Source organism: Homo sapiens, chromosome 5 (genome assembly GCF_000001405.40).
Source record: "Homo sapiens chromosome 5, GRCh38.p14 Primary Assembly".
In the NCBI taxonomy this organism is placed as follows: domain Eukaryota; kingdom Metazoa; phylum Chordata; class Mammalia; order Primates; family Hominidae; genus Homo; species Homo sapiens.
In genome coordinates this window covers 174,671,232-174,687,767 of record NC_000005.10, presented here as the reverse complement: position 1 = coordinate 174,687,767, position 16,536 = coordinate 174,671,232, and the positions used below count along the sequence as shown (strand labels likewise).

Genomic DNA, 16,536 nt, shown 5'->3' with positions numbered 1-16,536 from the left:
TGAGCAGATTTGGTCACTTCACTAAAGAAGTTATGCAAATGTGCAAATGGCCAATAAGCACATGAAAAGATACTCAACCTGATTAGTCACTGTCATTTGCAAATTAAAACCACAATGAGATACCACTATACAGTAATAAGAATGGCTAAAATCAAAAAGACTGCCAACATCTATGTTGGCCCAGACATGAAGCAACCAGAGCTCACACCTGCCAATATGAAATGTAAAATGTACAACCACTTAGAAAAACAGTTTGGCAGTTTTTAATACTAAAATTAAATGTGTACTTATTAAGTGACCTAGCAATCCTACTCTTAGGTATTTACTCAAGAAAAAGAAAAATAAAAACTTCTACAAGAATATTGACAGCAGTTTTATAGCTGTTATATACAGCTATATATATACAATATACAAGTTATATTGACAGCAGTCATAATAGCTCCAAATTGGAAAGAATGCAGATGTCTAAATGAATAAATTATGGTATACTCACAGAATGGGATCGTACTCAGTAATAAAAAATAATAAAGTAGCCAGTGGGGCGTGGTGACTCACACCTGTAATCCCAGAACTTTGGGAGGCCCAGGCAGGCCGATCACCTGAGGTCAGGAGTTCGAGACCAGCTTGGCCAACATGGTGAAACCCTGTTCCTACTAAAAATACAAAAATTAGCCGGGGGTGGTGGCGCATGCCTGTAATCCCAGCTACTCGGGAGGCTGAGGTAGGAGAATTGCTTGAACCCGGAGGCAGAGGTTGCAGTGAGCCGAGATTGCGCCACTGCACTCCAGCCTGGGTGACGGAGCGAGACTCCGTCTCAAAAAAAAAATAATAATAATAAAGTAGCAGTAATAAAAAAGAATAAGGTAGAGGAAAAATGAATCTCAAAAACATGATGATGAGCAAATAAATGCCACACATACAAGACATACTGTGTGATTTTATTTATGTGAAGTTCTGTTACAGGCAAAATGAATGTATGGTGAAAAAATGAGACCGGTGGTTATCTCTTGGGGAGTGGTTTGAAAAGAACCTAAGGGAACTTTCTACAATGTTGATTACTATGTTTGTCTGGGTGATGGTCTCTTCATTTTTTTGTGTGTACAAATTCACTGAGCTATATACTTAAGAATTGTACATTTTATGTGCATGAATTATACCTCAATAAAATGATGTTAAAAACATTATCAGGCACATTATCCTCATGACTGAAAATGGGGAAGCAGGACAATTATTTTCCAACTGAAGCTACCTGCTCAGGAACTCATCTTTCTCAAACTGACCACGAGCAAAGCCAGTTCCATCTTATTCAAAAACATGCTTTTTTTTTTTTTCTTGAGATGGAGTGTCGCTGTGTCGCCTAGGCTGGAGTGTAGAGGCGCGATCTCAGCTCACTGCAACCTCAGCCTCCTGGGCTCAAGTGATTCTCCTGCCTCAGCCACCCGAGTAGCTGGTATTACAGGCGCCTATAATTTTGTATTTTTAGTAGAGACTGGGTTTCACCATGTTGGCCAAGCTGGTCTCCAACTCCTGACCTCAGGTGATACTCCTGCATCAGCCTCCCAAAGTGCTGAGATTACAAGAGTGAGCCACAGCGTCCGGCCAAAACATGCATGTTTTCAACCAGAATGGCTACAATGAAAAAGACAGATGACAATGGGGAGCGACTGGAACTCTCTCGTATCACTGGGGGACTGTGAATTGGTGAAACTGTCCTGGATCTGGAAAACTGTTTGACAGTATCTACTAACACTAAACACTTGGGTAGCTTATGACAGACAATCCCATTTCTGGATATATATCCAGGAAAGCTGAGTCCGTATAACCACCAAAGACATAGACAACAATTTTGTTTTTTGTATTTTAAAAGCAACTTTATGGAGATTTAATTCACACATAATACAATTCACCCAGTTAAAGTATACCATTAGGCTTTTAATATATTTACAGAGTTGTGAAGCTATCACCATAATCGATTTTAGAACATTTTTATAACCCCCAAAAGAAATCCTTTACCCATAAGCCGTCATTCTCCATTCCCTCATACCCAACCCTGCCTCAGCCCTAAGCAATCACTAATCGACTTTCTGTCTCCTCAGCTTTGCCCAATCTGGACTTTCCATATATATATATATATATATATATATATATATGGAACTGTACAGTAGGTAGTCTTTTGGGACTGGCTTCTTTCACCTTGCATAATGTTTTCAAGGTTTATCCATATTTCAGCATGTTTGACTCCTACCCTCCTTCTTATTGCTGAATAATATGTCATTTGCATGTATATACCACATTTAATTTATTCCTTCATCAGTGGATGGCCATCTGGTTTGTTTCTACTTTTTAAAAAAAAAAAAAACTTTTTATTTTATTGTTAAATATAGACACAGTGTTGTATAGCAGATCTCTAGAACCTATCCATTTTTCATAACTGAAATTTTATACTCACTGAATTGCAGCCTCCCTCCAGCTTCTGGCAACCCCCATTCTACTCTGTTTCCCTGAGTCTATTTTAGATACCTCAGGTAAGTGGAATCTGCTGTATTTGTCATTCTATTATGACTGGCTTACCTCACTGAATGTTCTCCAGGTTTGTCTGTGTCGTTGCAGAAGGCAGGATTTCCTTCCTTTTTTAAGGCTGAATAATATTCCACTGAATAACTGAGAATGTTGAAATCAGCACCCTCCTTAATAGTTCTGAACTTGAAATGAGCCCCATGAAACTTGCAGTAGAATGCCTAAATAAATTGTTGTATAATTCATACATTGAAATACTATACAGTAATGGGAGCAAACAAAATCCAACATGTAACAACATAATATTGAGCAAAATAAAAAAAAAAAGAGTACACAGTGCGCGATCCTATTCATTAAAGTTAAAAAAACAGGCAAAACTAACCTATGGTGAAATAAATCAGCACATGATTGCTTTTTGTGTGGGAAGGACAGGAATTGACTGAGAAGGGGCACAAAGGATCATTCTGGGGTCATGGAAACGTGGAAGTGTTCTATACCTTGATGATATTGCTGCTTCCACTGCTGTACACATTTATCAAAAGTCATCAAACTTTACCCTTAAAATGAGTTCATTTTATTGTATGTAATGTATACCAGTATAAAATTTATTTTTAAAATATCAATCTTGGAGGTCAATTGGAAGCTAACTGGCACATAATAGCCTTTTTTCTTTTTTCTTTTTTTTGAGATGGACTCTTGCTCTGTCGCCCAGGCTGGAGTGCAGTGGCACGATCTCGGGCTCACTGCAACCTCTGCCTCCTGGGTTCAAGCGATTCTCCTGTCTCAGCCTCCTGAGTAGCTGGAACTACAGGCGCACACCACCACGCCTGGCTAATGTTTTTTGTATTTTTAGTAGAGACGGGGTTTCACGGTGTTAGCCAGGATGGTCTCAATCTCCTGACTTCATGATCTGCCCACCTCGGCTTCCCAAAGTGCTGGGATTACAGGCATGAGCCACTGCGCCTGGCCGTTATAATAGCATTTTTTTTTTTTTTTTTTTTTGGAGACCGAGTCTCACTCTGTCACCCAAGCTGGAGTGCAGTGGCGCGACCCTGGCTCACTGCAAACTCCGCCTCCCGGGTTCAAGCGATTCTCTTGCCTCAGCCTCCTGAGTAGCTGGGATTACAGGCGCGCGCCTCCATGCCCAGCTAATTTTGTATACTTAGTAGAGACGGGGTTTCACCCTGTTAGCCAGGCTGATCTCCAACTCCCTACCTCTGGTGATCCACCTGCCTCAGCCTCCCAAAGTGCTGAGATTACAGGCATGAGTCACCGCGCCCGGCTGTTATAATAGCCTTCTAGTAAATATTACGTCTATCATTGGAGAGAAACATGTAGAAGGGAACTGAAAGGGTGTTAGTTGATGAAGTGATAAAAATCTCTCTCCCCTAAATTTGTAAACATAGAGATGAATTTGCTGCTGGTTCTGATAACTTGGTAGAAGTTGCTGTGAGCATGTTAGGCCTTGGACAGACAATACAGAAAGGGACTGAGTCACCCAAGCTTCCTATAGCAAGCTCATCTTTTCTCCGGGGAGCCAGTAGCACTGCATTTTGGAGCTGGACTTCAAATAACTATCATTGTGGCCAGGTCTGATGTTGCTTTTCATTCTTTAATAAACATACTTGCTTGCATGTTTTTATTTGTTTGCTAGTTTTAAAAAAAATTATTAAAAGCCGGGTGCAGTGGCTGACGCCTGTAATCCCAGCACTTTGGGAGGCCGAGGCAGGTAGATCACAAGGTCAGGAGTTCGAGACCAGCCTGGCCAACATGGTGAAACCCTGTCTCTACAAAAAATACAAAAATTAGCCAGGCATGGTGGCACGTGCCTGTAGTCCCAGCTACGCCGGAGGCTGAGGCAGAAGAATAGCTTGAACCCAGGAGGCAGAGGTTGCCGTGAGCCAAGATTGGGCCACTGCACTCCAGCCTGGGAGACAGAGCGAAACAACGTCTCAAAAAAAAATTATTAAAATATAGTATATGCTCTTTAACAAGCAGAAAAGTAGAAAGAAAAAATCACTTCAACACTGCTCTCCAAAAACAACTACAGCTAAAGTTTAATAGATTTCCTTCTAATCTTACCTGAGTGTGTTCTTTCTTGCTATGGGATCACACCATAACATAAGCAATTTCCACACGTTTATAAGCTACCTGTCAATGTTATTCTAAGGTACCATACCGAGCAAGCCCCATGGATTTATTTATCTATTTATATTTAGATTTTCCAGACAGAGTACAGTGGCACCATCATAGCTCACTACAGCTTGGAACTCTTGGGCTCCAGCAATCCTCCCGCTTTAACCCCTGGAGTAGCTGTGACTACAGGAGTGTGCTACCATGCCTGGCTCATTTTTATTTTTAAATTTTTGGTAGAGACGGTGATCTCACTATGTTGTCCAGGCTGATCTCTAATTCCTGACCTCAAGCAATCCTTCCACCTCGGCCTCCCGAAGCACTGAGATTACAAGTGTGAGCCACCATGCCTGACCCCTCCATGGATTTATTAACTGTTCCTTCCTGTTGTCTATTTTTCAACATTACAAATAACTTTGTAATGATTTCCATCATTCAGAAAGGTGGGTTTTTTTTTTTTTTGCTTGTGATTAATGTGATTTCCTCAAGATAGAGTCCCAAAAATGGAATTATTATGCTATAGGAATTTTTTTTTAGACAAAGTCTTGCTCTGTTGCCCAGGCTGGAGTGCAGTGGCATGATCTTGGCTCACTTCAACCTCTGCCTCCTGGGTTCAAGTGATTCTCCTGCCTCAGCCTCTGGAGTAGCCAGGATTACGGGCATGTGCCACCATGCCCGGCTAATTTTTTTGTATTTTTAGTAGAGACGGGGTTTCACCACGTTGGCCAGGCCGGTCTTGAACTCCTGATCTCAGGTGATCTGCCCACCTCAGCCTCCCAGAGTGCTGGGATTACAGGTGTGAGCCACTGTGCCCGGCCTGCTATGGGTAATGTTTTTAAGGCCCTTGATACATAATACCAACTTGTACTCCAAAACATTTGTATCACTGTAGGACACCAGCAATAGCACACAAGTTCAGTTTTATCCCACAGCCAGTGCCAGGTTTTATTTTTTTAAAAGCTTGGTATTTGGGTAGGCAGAAATGATCTTTTCTTTCCAGGTATATTCTTTGGTGTCTGAGGCATTGATACTTTTCTTGTATGCTAGTTGGTCACTGGTGTTTCCTCTTTTGGTGATTATCAGTCATTGACCTTCCCCACCAGTCAGCTGAGATCTCAGATTCCCTTTCTTCAGGAGGATCACTGAGCCCAAAGATGAGTGAATGACTGTATTGACTCCCTGACCTCTCTGCACTTAGTACATTGAATCATGGGATACGCCCCAGACCCCAAAACACTGATTCTCAGGCTTCATTGTGCTTAAGATTTACCCAGGGAGCTTGTTTAATTGTGAGATGCCTGGGCTCATGCCCACGAGATTCTGAGTTAGCAGAACTGTAGTGGGCTTTAAAAATCTGTATTTTTAACAAATAACCCAGGTGATTCTGATGCTGATGGTCCACTAAACCAGCTCCAAAGTGAAAAACTGCCTCAGAGTGAGGACTGGTTATCACTATCATTATTTTCACATCGCTGTGGTCAGTCTGGGCAGTGTGGAATGAGAGCACTCAGTTTCATCAGCAATTGCCTGGTGTATAGTAAGCACTTGATACAGCCTTTTTTCATCGGTTGACATATCCTAATTCTAGGCATTCAGTAGGTGCCCATTAACTAGTATTTCTGCTTGGCTATTAGAGGCTAGGAATGCAGTAGACAGTCAATAAAGACTTATTGCACCAGGTAAATGCAAGTGCTGGGCATACAATAGGTGTTCAGTAAATGTGACAAGCAGCCAGGCGGCCAGTAGCAGCAGGGGGCCAACGATGAGTGAATGACTGTAACAAATCCCTGAGCTTTCTGTATTTACAACAACAAATCAGGATATATGCCTAGACCCCAAAGCATTGACTCTATGTGTGTTAGGGCACAGGTTTCAGTGTAGCCCTAACTTATTCTTAAGGAGAATGGGTTGCTGGAAGGTTTCTTGGATGCCTGGTTTGGGAGGCTAAGGGACGAAGGTATGGGATCAACGTACTTACATTCCAGACTCAACCAGAAGAACTTGCAGATCCTGTGAGAAGGGCCTGCTCCCCAGACCCTCAGGCCTGTGTCTTTCATCATGTGACTTGCTATTTGCTGTGGAGCATGTGACTTGTTGTTTGCTGTGGGTTTGCCCCATTAAGACGTGAACCCTTTTATTAGCTCATTCACCCCTAGCAGCAGGCTTGGAAAGGGCTGTCACCCAGGTAATCTCTCCCGTCTCATTTTTCTTTCTTCTGACCCCTCCTCCCATAGTTTCTGAAGCTAAGATCTTCCAGAGACCTGCAGAAAGAAATGCTAACCCAAAGGCATTCAGAAGACCTCTAGAGAAGACCTGTAAAGGCATTCAGAAAGCTGCTGAGGTGAAGCTCCCTTTGAAAGACAAGGACCCCTCTTCTGGGCCACTGGGTTTTGAATAGCAGTGCAGGAGGGACTCTCTGTTTTTGTGGACTGAATGCCTCACTTTTTAGGATTCCCCTTGGTTTTGTTTGTTTGTTTGACTTTTGGTGAACATTGTCCATAAGCCCCATGGCCCATCCAGTCTGCAAAATTCCATCAGCTCTCTGAGATTTCTGAAATACAACATTTCATAAGCATCCACTGCTTAGGAGCATGGTCCTTAGGAAACAGGAAGGATGTGTACTGAGCCTTCTGTTCATGGAGGAGTTTGGGAGCATGTGTCCATGTGTGTGTGAGCATGTCAGGCACACACTTCTGATTAGAAGTAGCATCCTTGTGTTTCAGCCAGCTGTACCTTCTGCAGCTAAACTCAGAGATTATAACAGATACTGGAAGGAATGAAGACCAGAAGCGTGGTTGGGAGGAAGGGAGTAAAACAACTATGAATCGTTAGCAGCCTACAAAAATAATGCCTGGAAGAATACACAGTGACAGAGGAAGATGTGCTAGAGCTAGTTATAATTGGAAAACACAAGTTACAAAGACCAAGCTCACTATTTCAGTTAAATAAGTAAACCAGAAAAAGAGCCTGCAAAGATATTTATTAAAATATTAACAGTGGCAGGTCAGGCGCAGTGGCTCACACCTGTAATCCCAGCACTTTGGGAGGCCGAGGCGGGTAGATCACGAGGTCAGGAGTTTGTGACCATCCTGTGCAACACAGTGAAACCCCGTCTCTACTAAAAATACAAAAAATTAGCCAAGCATGGTGGTGGGCACCTGTAATCCCAGCTACTCAGGAGGCTGAGGCAGGAGAATGGCTTGAACCCAGGAGGCGGAGGTTGCAGTGAGCTGAGATCGCACCATTGCACTCCAGCCTGCGTGACAGAGTGAGACTCCGTCTCAAAAAAAAAAAAAAAAAACTTTACAGTGGCAGTCAGTGGTGAGATTGCAAGAGATTTTTATCATCTTTTTATTTTTCATGTTTTCAAAAGTTTATACAGTAAATATATTGTGTTTTTACTCTGTATTCAAAATATATACCCAAAGACCATAAATGAAAAATGATATTTTTTACTTTTCCCAATCACTATCCCTATTCTTCAGGCCACATATACTTAATAGTTTGTAGGTGATCTTCAAAAAATTCAGAGCATAATAAAAATATATATATTATATATGTGTGTATCTTTTTAAAGACACAACAGAATCATACTGTATGCACTTATGTGCAATGTCACGTGGCCTTATTCTTTTTAATGGCTACATTGTATTCCATTGCGTGGATATGTCACAATTTTTTTAGTCTCCTCTTGTTGGTCATCAGTAGCATTTTTTTCTATTAACAAATATTATATTGTATTTTTAAAAATAAGGAAAAAGACCAAGCATGGTGGTTCATGCCTGTAATCCCAGCACATTGGGAGTCCGAGGCAGGTGGCTCACCTGAGGTCAGGAGTTCGAGACCAGCCTGACCAATATGGTGAAACCCTGTCTCTACTAAAAGTAAAAATTTAGCCAGGCGTGGGGCATGTGCCTGTAATCCCAGCTACTTGGGAGGCTGAGGCAGGAGAATTGCTTGAACCAGGGAGGTGGAGGTTGTAGTGAGCCAAGATCGCGCCACTGCACTCGAGGCTGGGCGACACAGCAAGACTCCATCTCAAAGAAAATTAAAAAAAAAAACAAAGAAAAGGAAAAAAAGTAGAAAGGCAGGAGGGCAAGTAGTTAGGGATTTGATTACCAGAGAGAGATATAGAGCAGAGAATTACGAAAGGCACAAAAAGCCAACTGAGCTAGTAAAACAAAACTCAGCAAATTCCAAACTCCAAAAACTTACTGGTGAGCCCCTTCCTGGCCCTGTTTGGTACCCCTCTGATGGGTGAAGTATCGAGATGGGCACAGCATAGGAGCTAATCCTCAGAGAATGAGGATCTTTTTAATAACCCACTGACTCCCAGGGGTGTCCAAGAGAGAGAATACAGTCATGGGTTCTTAGTTTCTATTTCTGCCTGAGCCAGTAAAGCCCCTTCCTCATCCCTCTTTTTGGCTTATCACTAGAGACAAAAACTAAAAACCATGGCTTCAGGCTGCTAAAAGCCTAGAACAAAATGAAACGGAACAACAAAATAAAGCGAGTTAGACAAGCTTGCGTGAAAAGAAGCAGTTCAATGATATTTCAACCATTTTCTCTTTAAATCCAAGCCACAAAATTCTTTAGATATTGACATGTAGATATCTATCACATACCTAGTAAAATTATTGAGTGTAGGATGTGCTGTTCAGGAGAGAGATCAATGCTTTAGTGGATACCACAGACATACAAACTTAAAACCTAATGTAGAATCATCTCTTGAACAGAGGAGAGAATTCCTGACTCTATCTGGAAGGCTCTGAAGGTTTCATAGATGAGGGCACAGTGGAATTGGGTCTTGAAGGATGAATAGGAGTTCTCCAGCCAGAGAGTAAGGGCATAGCCTGGGCAAAGGCACAACAATTTTATAGTAGGATTTGCTTATTTGGATAATGGTAAGTCAGTTGGTATGGCTGAAATATAGGGAAGTGGCAGGGTTAGGATAGAAAAACAGGTTGGATGAGGTTGTAAATGTCCTTGAATGCCAGGTTAAGATTAAATTTTTATTCTAAGGACAATGGGGAGTCTTGGAAGGCTTCAAGCAGGAAAATGACACAATCAGACGGACATTGTGGAAATGATCACATTAGCAGACAGATTGGGTGTACACGGAGAGTGTTTGGAAGCAGAAAGATAGATTAGTTCAATGCTAAAAGCCCTGGAATTTTGTTTTGTTTTGTTCCTTGGTGATCCAAATTCTTAGTAGGAAAGCTAGTATCCTGCTAAAGATATGCCAGTTCCAGCCATTTCTCTTATAACCCAACTCTTATAGGATATGTACATGGGTACTCACTGCAACATTGCCTGTATTACATGGAACCATATGAAATTGTTATTTTTGTAGGTCAAAAATAATCAAATATTGATTTTTTTTTTTGAGATAGAGTCTTGTTCTTTCACTCAGGTTGGAAGGAAGTGGCACGACCTTGGCTCACTGCAACCCTTGCCCCCCAAGTTCAAGCTATTCCCCTGCCTCAGCCTCCTAAGTAGCTGGGACTACAGGCACCCACCACCACTTCCGCTAATTTTTGTATTTTTAGTAGAGACAGGGTTTCGCCATGTTGGCCAGGCTTCTCTAGGACACCTGACCTCAGGTGATCTACCCACCTCGGCCTCCCAAAGTGCTAGGATTACAGGCGTGAACCACTGTGCCCAGCCAATGTCATATGGCTCACCAGTGGCAAAAAACTGGCCGCAATCTGAATGCTGATTGGCAGGGACCTGATCAGGTGTGGCATTCATATGAACGAGGTAGCTTTATGTGGGCACGTGAGCTCCATCCTTGTCTCCAAGACATATTAAGGAGGTTCTGCTTTTTTAAAGGTATGATAATAGTATTGTGTGTATACTGTAAATGGGATCTTTATCTTTCAGAGATATAACCTGATCTATTTACAGTTAAAATAGTATGATATCTGATACTTGCTTCAAAAAAGTCCAGAGCAGGGTGGGGTGGGTAGGAAGTAAGGTGGAGGCAAGAGTAAATACGAGAACAAACGTTTGTCAAAGCTGAGTGATGGATAGATGGGAATTTATTTTACTATTTCATCTGTTTCTGTATATGTTTGGCATGTTTCCGTAATAACACATTTCTGAAAATGCCAGAAGTGGATCAGTTTTCAAAGAATGCTGCCATTGGCCGGCTGTGGTGGCTCATCCCTGTAATTCCAGCATTTTGGGAGGTCGAGGTGAGCAGATCACCTGTGGTCAGGAGTTCTAGACCAGCCTGGCCATCATGGTGAAACCCCGTCTCTACTAAAAAAACAAAAAAAATTAGCTGGGCATGGAGGCACATGCCTGTAATCCCAGCTACTTGGGAGGCTGAGGCAGGAGAATCGCTTGAACCCGGGAGGTGGAGGTTGCAGTGAGCTGAGATGGCGCCATTGCACTCCAGCCTGGGCAACAAGAATCAAACTCTGTCTCAGAAAAAAAAAAAAGAATGCTGCCGTTGTATAAAAGAAAATAATATATGGATGCATACATATATAGATACTATGCGCTGGTATAGACATAGAACATTTCTGGAAGGAAGGTTAGGAGTGAGAGGGAGATGTACTCTTGTACTTTAAAAATTATGTATGTATTATTTTTAAAAAGTAAAACACGATGTAAAAATTTTTAAAAAAGTAGACCTGTGTTTTATTACTAGCTTGATACTAACTCAGAATGTGTGTTGGCCTCAGTTTCCTCATTCAGAGACTGCAGAAAACGGTCCCTCCCTACCCATTGAGCTCGGAAGAGGTTTTGAAATGATGTGTGCAAATTGCCCAGCCCAGGACTGGGGACATGGACGTTTCTCAGTCATAATAATAAGAATGGTGACGCCACTGTGTGCACGCCATGAAATTGTAGAAGGGAAAAGAATCTTTCTGAGTCCTTTGGAAGAAACACACTATAAGGTATCCAGGTGTGATGTCCGTTTCACACTCACTGTGTCCTCGCTACTCAATAGGCAAAGAGGTCAAGTTTCTGCCCCCAGCTGTCTACATTAATCAGATTCACCAGATAATTGCTCCACTCCCTCCTCTCCTGCCCTCCACCACTTCCTATTTGTGGACTACCCTCAAACTCCAGGCTCCTTTCTCCAGGGATGAACCCAAAAGCTGACTCAGTCATTTCTGTGTGAGTTAATTTCTAAGGGTGAGCCAGAGGCAGACCTTCACAAGAGCAATGTATGACTGTGTCGGCTCACATTTCATAAAGTTCTTCCACGGTGACATTGGGGACCAGCAGAAATGGTCGACCCATGCATGAACTCCAGTCCAAGAGAGGTTAGATTACCACCTGGGCTGTTTGTTTAGAATGGCTTGGAGGTCTTGGGGCTGTTTGTCCAGCACCTTGATGTATACAAAGGCTGAACTTTGGCCCTCTTTTTCACCAACAATCTCCATCCCTGTTAGAGTGTCTGTCTTTTCTTACTTGCACCACGAGGTCTCTCCAGGGTCCAGAAGGTTAAGGGGGATCAAGCTAAGAACGTGGTTCTGAATCCAACATTCAAAGTTGATCTCTCTGGGAGCTGACAGTGAGGATTAGATGCCTTAAGGCAGCCGCTCAGAGAGGTTATTTCTTCCATTTTATTTTATTTTATTTATTTTTCATTAGAAAGGGATTATAAAATATATTTGTCTTCTTCAATAACTCATCAAATGGATTTTAAATGAGGTACCCCTTGTTGAAAAAGAGAATGTGAAACGCATGTCTCAGAGAAGTAACATTTGCAAAATGAAAGTGATCTTAGGGGATTGGGATCTCTGGAGCAAGACTTTCAAAGGCAACAAAAGGTAACAGATACTTTCATCACTCACCAGGTGATTGTCATGATTAACTGCTCAGAGGAAGGAATGTCTGTTGAACACTCAGGAACAAAGTAAATGGGGATGGGTTCATTCTACCTGGGTTGGCCCAACGTGAGACATTGTGGCATTGTAGCTTTCAGGAGAAGGGCTTGACTTCTTACCTCCAGTGATTATAATGAGTGCCAACAGATATTGAAATATTTACCCTGTGTAATAAATTTGTAATAATTTTTTTTTTTTTTTTGAGATGGAGTTTTACTCTTGTTGCCCAGGCTGGAGTGCAATGGCGCGATCTCGGCTTACCGCAACCTCCGCCTCCCAGGTTCAAGTGATTCTCCTGCCTCAGCCTTCCCAAGTAGCTGGCATTATAGGCATGTGCCACCAAGCCCGACTAATTTTGTATTTTTAGTAGAGATGGGGTTTCTCCATGTGGGTCAGGCTGGTCTCGAACTCCCGACCTCAGGTGATTCGCCCACCTCAGCCTCCCAAAGTGCTGGGATTACAGGCGTGAGCCACCGCACCTGGCTGATAAATTGTTATAAGTGCATTTTAAGTGTGTTTGTGCATTTCACAACAACCTTTGAAAGAGATGTTTTTTATTGATATTTTACTGATGAAGCAGTAAAGGTACCAAAAGATTTAGTAACTCACCCAAAATTACACTGCTAAAAAACAGAAGATTTGAAGAGTTGACACCTGACTCACAAGCGTGTGCTTAATCTTCAAAAAGTACAGAAAGGAAATAAACGCTTTCTTTTTTTTTTTTTTTTTTGAGACAGAGTCTCGCTCTGTCGCCCAGGCTGGAGTGCAGTGGCACCATCTTGGCTCACTGCAAGCTCCGCCTCCCGGGTTCACACCATTCTCCTGCCTCAGCCTCCCGAGTAGCTGGGACTACAGGCACCCGCCACCACGCCCGGCTAATTTTTTGTATTTTTAGTAGAGATGGGGTTTCAACATGTTCGCCAGGATGGTCTCGATCTCGTGATCCGCCCGTCTCGGCCTCCCAAAGTGTTGGGATTACAGGTGTGAGCCACCGCGCCCGGCCGGAAATCAACACTTTCAAAGTGGCTCTCCGGGCTCTCTCTTGGTGTCTCACCTTGCTTGATAGCCTCACCGATACCTGTGAGGTTGGCATACTTACTCTAAGCTCTCATTTGGTTGCAACCACAGAAACCCAATTCAGACTGGCTTAGGAAAAAAGACAGAATATATTGGGGACCATAATTAAAAAGTACAGGCAAAGATCTGGTTACAGACAAAGGTCTGGCTTCAGGCACAACCGTCTCCAGGGCTTGGTTTCCCTCTTGGCTGCCTCAGACCTTCTGTGTCCATAAGCTGAGCCAATCTCCATGGCCAAGGTAATGTACTTTTTAAAAATAATACGTACATAATTTTTTAAGTACAAGAGTACATCTCCCTCTCACTCCTAACCTTCCTTCCAGAAATGTTCTATGTCTATACCAGCACATAGTATCTATATATGTATGCATCCATATATTATTTTCTTTTATAAAATGGCAGCATTCTTTTTTTTTTTTTCCTGAGACAGAGTTTGACTCTTGTTGCCCAGGCTGGAGTGCAATGGCGCTCTAATTGGATGGGCCAGTTTCACAGCAACCTGGATGGGATTGGAGAGTGTTATTCTTTTTTCTGTTTTGTTTTGTTTTGTTTTGTTTTTTGAGATGGAGTCTTGCTCTGTTGCCCAGGCTGGAGTGCAATGGTGCGATCTTGGCTCACTGCAACCTCCACCTCACAGATTCAAGCAATTCTCCTGCCTCATCCTCCCGAATAGCTGGGATTACAGGTGCCCGCCACCATGCCAGGCTAATTTTTGTATCTTTAGTAGAGACAGGGTTTCACCATATTGTCCAGGCTGGTCTCGAGCTCCTGACCTCGTGATCTACCTGCCTCGGCCTCCCAAAGTGCTGGGATTACAGGTGTGAGCCACCGCGCCTGGCCTGGAGAGTATTATCAGGAATGGAAAATCAAACATCGTATGTTCTCTCTCAGAAGTAGGAGCTATGCTATGAGGATGCAAAGGCATAAGAATGATAAAATGTCCTGGCCGCGGGGAGGGGGGCAGAGGGCAAATGGTGGGAAGGGGGTGAGGGATAAAAGTACAAACTGGTTCAATGAACACTGCTCAGTGCACCAAAATCTCACAAATCACCACTAAAGAAATTACTAATGTAACCAAATACCACACGTTCCACAAAAACCTATGGAAATAAAAAATAAAATAATTGGATGGGCCAGGGCATCCTTAAAACCCAAACCATATAACTGCGGATGGGCAAGAGAGTGTCCAGAAGGAAAAGTTAAGGAGCCATTACCAGTAGGGAGAACAAGGCTGGGTTGGACCAGTTAAGTGACGCCCTTCACTCTTTATCCCTGGGTGAGGAAGTGAACAGTCACAGACAAGAAGTGATTGGTCTAGACTCCACTGACTATAACAGTTGGTTTCTAGCAATAATAATAATTAGGGGGACTAGATGAAAAAATCTGTCACAGTGTCTGGCACATAGTAAATGCTCATTAAAAGTTTGCTGCACCAAATTGAGTAACAATTTTCATTAACAAAGGAATAACTTGGCAATACTAAAAAGTTATGCTCTAGAAAATCTAATATCATAGTATATTCTTTTCTCTTTGGGAACTAAAGTAGAAAATCAATATTTTTCTTTCTCTCTCTCTTAAGATTCAAAACAACTTGGGAGGCTGGGGTCAGGGGTCGGGGTCTACCCTCACAAGTTCTCCTAGGTACTTTCACACCAGAAGTCCTGCCTCCAGCAAAGACTTCCCATACACTCCCTACAGAAATCTGCCTGTTTGTTCCTGAGTGATAGTGGCAGTGGTCGCACAAACAAATTTCTCAAAAATGATTTCTTTACTTGCTCTAAGGTGAGCTCAAAAACTTTGCCTGGATTAAACTAATCTTTGATCTAGATTTAATAAAGGCACAAATACAGACATACGCCATTTGGGTTTGAGACATACTCTGGGAACGTGTCGGCAAAGCAATTTGCTAGGACTAATGAAAGGCTTTTGGCAAAGGGGTTTCAAAGCCAGTGTCAGAAGCGGCTCTGTTCGAGGCATGGGAGGGCCCAGGAGGTGCGCAGGCTGGCTGGGAAAAGGCCTCGCTTTCTAGACTGCATTCAGATATCAGCCCCTCACCCAGCCAGGCCGGGGTGGGGCTGAGTCAGCATGATAGGAGCTGGAGGGAAACCTGTGAGGGGCACAGGGCACGGGGTGGACACACAGGAGGGTCTGAGGGACTCAGCTGAGGATGAAGGAAATTTACAGGGGGCAGGACAAACCAGGCAGTTAGTTCTAAGGAGGCTTAGGAATCCAGGCAAATGCAAGTGCCAGACAGATAGATGGTCTTGGAGCAGTGGCTGTCCCTGGAAAGGCTAACTGGGACCCTGGATGTGGCGGTGGGAGGAAAACGTCCTCACCTCTCTGTCTACCCTTTTGCATCTTACCTCTCAGATGATAGGCATGCATATGGCTTCATTATTGCACATTACAAAAATGCTATTTGCATAGACATGTAGCCAGTAATGGATTTTTTTAATACACATGTATGTAAAAGTTTAAGAAAATGAATTGGAAGAATGTTCTTTGTTTCTTGGAAGGAAGAGATTGAAATGGGTGGTAGATGGTTAAGGGGAATTTAGTTTTTTCTCTAATTTTATTTCTTTCAAGGAAATGAGTGGAAGTAAATACAAAATGTTATGTGATATGGGAAGTTTTAATATTATTCCTAATGGCGTTACTGCGTTTTTTATTTTATTTTAGTTTAGTTTAGTTTATTTGACAGAGTCCCACTCTGTCCCCCAGGCTGGAGTGCAGTAATCATAGCTCACTGCAGCCTCAAACTTCTGGGCTCAGGCGATCTTCCTGCCTCAGTCTCCCATAGCTAGGACTATAGGCATGCACCACAAAGCTTGGCTAATTTTTGTATTTTTTTGTAGAGACAGGGTCTCACTGTGTTGCCCAGGCTGGTCTTGAACCCCTAGCCTCAAGCATCCCTCCCACCTCAGCCTCTCAAAGTGTTGGGATTATAGGCATGCACCACCGT

General features: G+C 42.8%; 2 annotated features.

Annotated features, from left to right (window-relative positions):
* Positions 6,170-6,693: an enhancer, noted in NCBI's record as "NANOG hESC enhancer chr5:174108078-174108601 (GRCh37/hg19 assembly coordinates)". NCBI's record gives its function as "activates a minimal SCP1, AML or CMV promoter by ChIP-STARR-seq in naive H9 embryonic stem cells {active_cell/tissue: H9 hESC(naive)}" and the evidence as "EXISTENCE:reporter gene assay evidence [ECO:0000049][PMID:30033119]".
* Positions 15,142-15,642: an enhancer, noted in NCBI's record as "H3K4me1 hESC enhancer chr5:174099129-174099629 (GRCh37/hg19 assembly coordinates)". NCBI's record gives its function as "activates a minimal SCP1, AML or CMV promoter by ChIP-STARR-seq in primed H9 embryonic stem cells {active_cell/tissue: H9 hESC(primed)}" and the evidence as "EXISTENCE:reporter gene assay evidence [ECO:0000049][PMID:30033119]".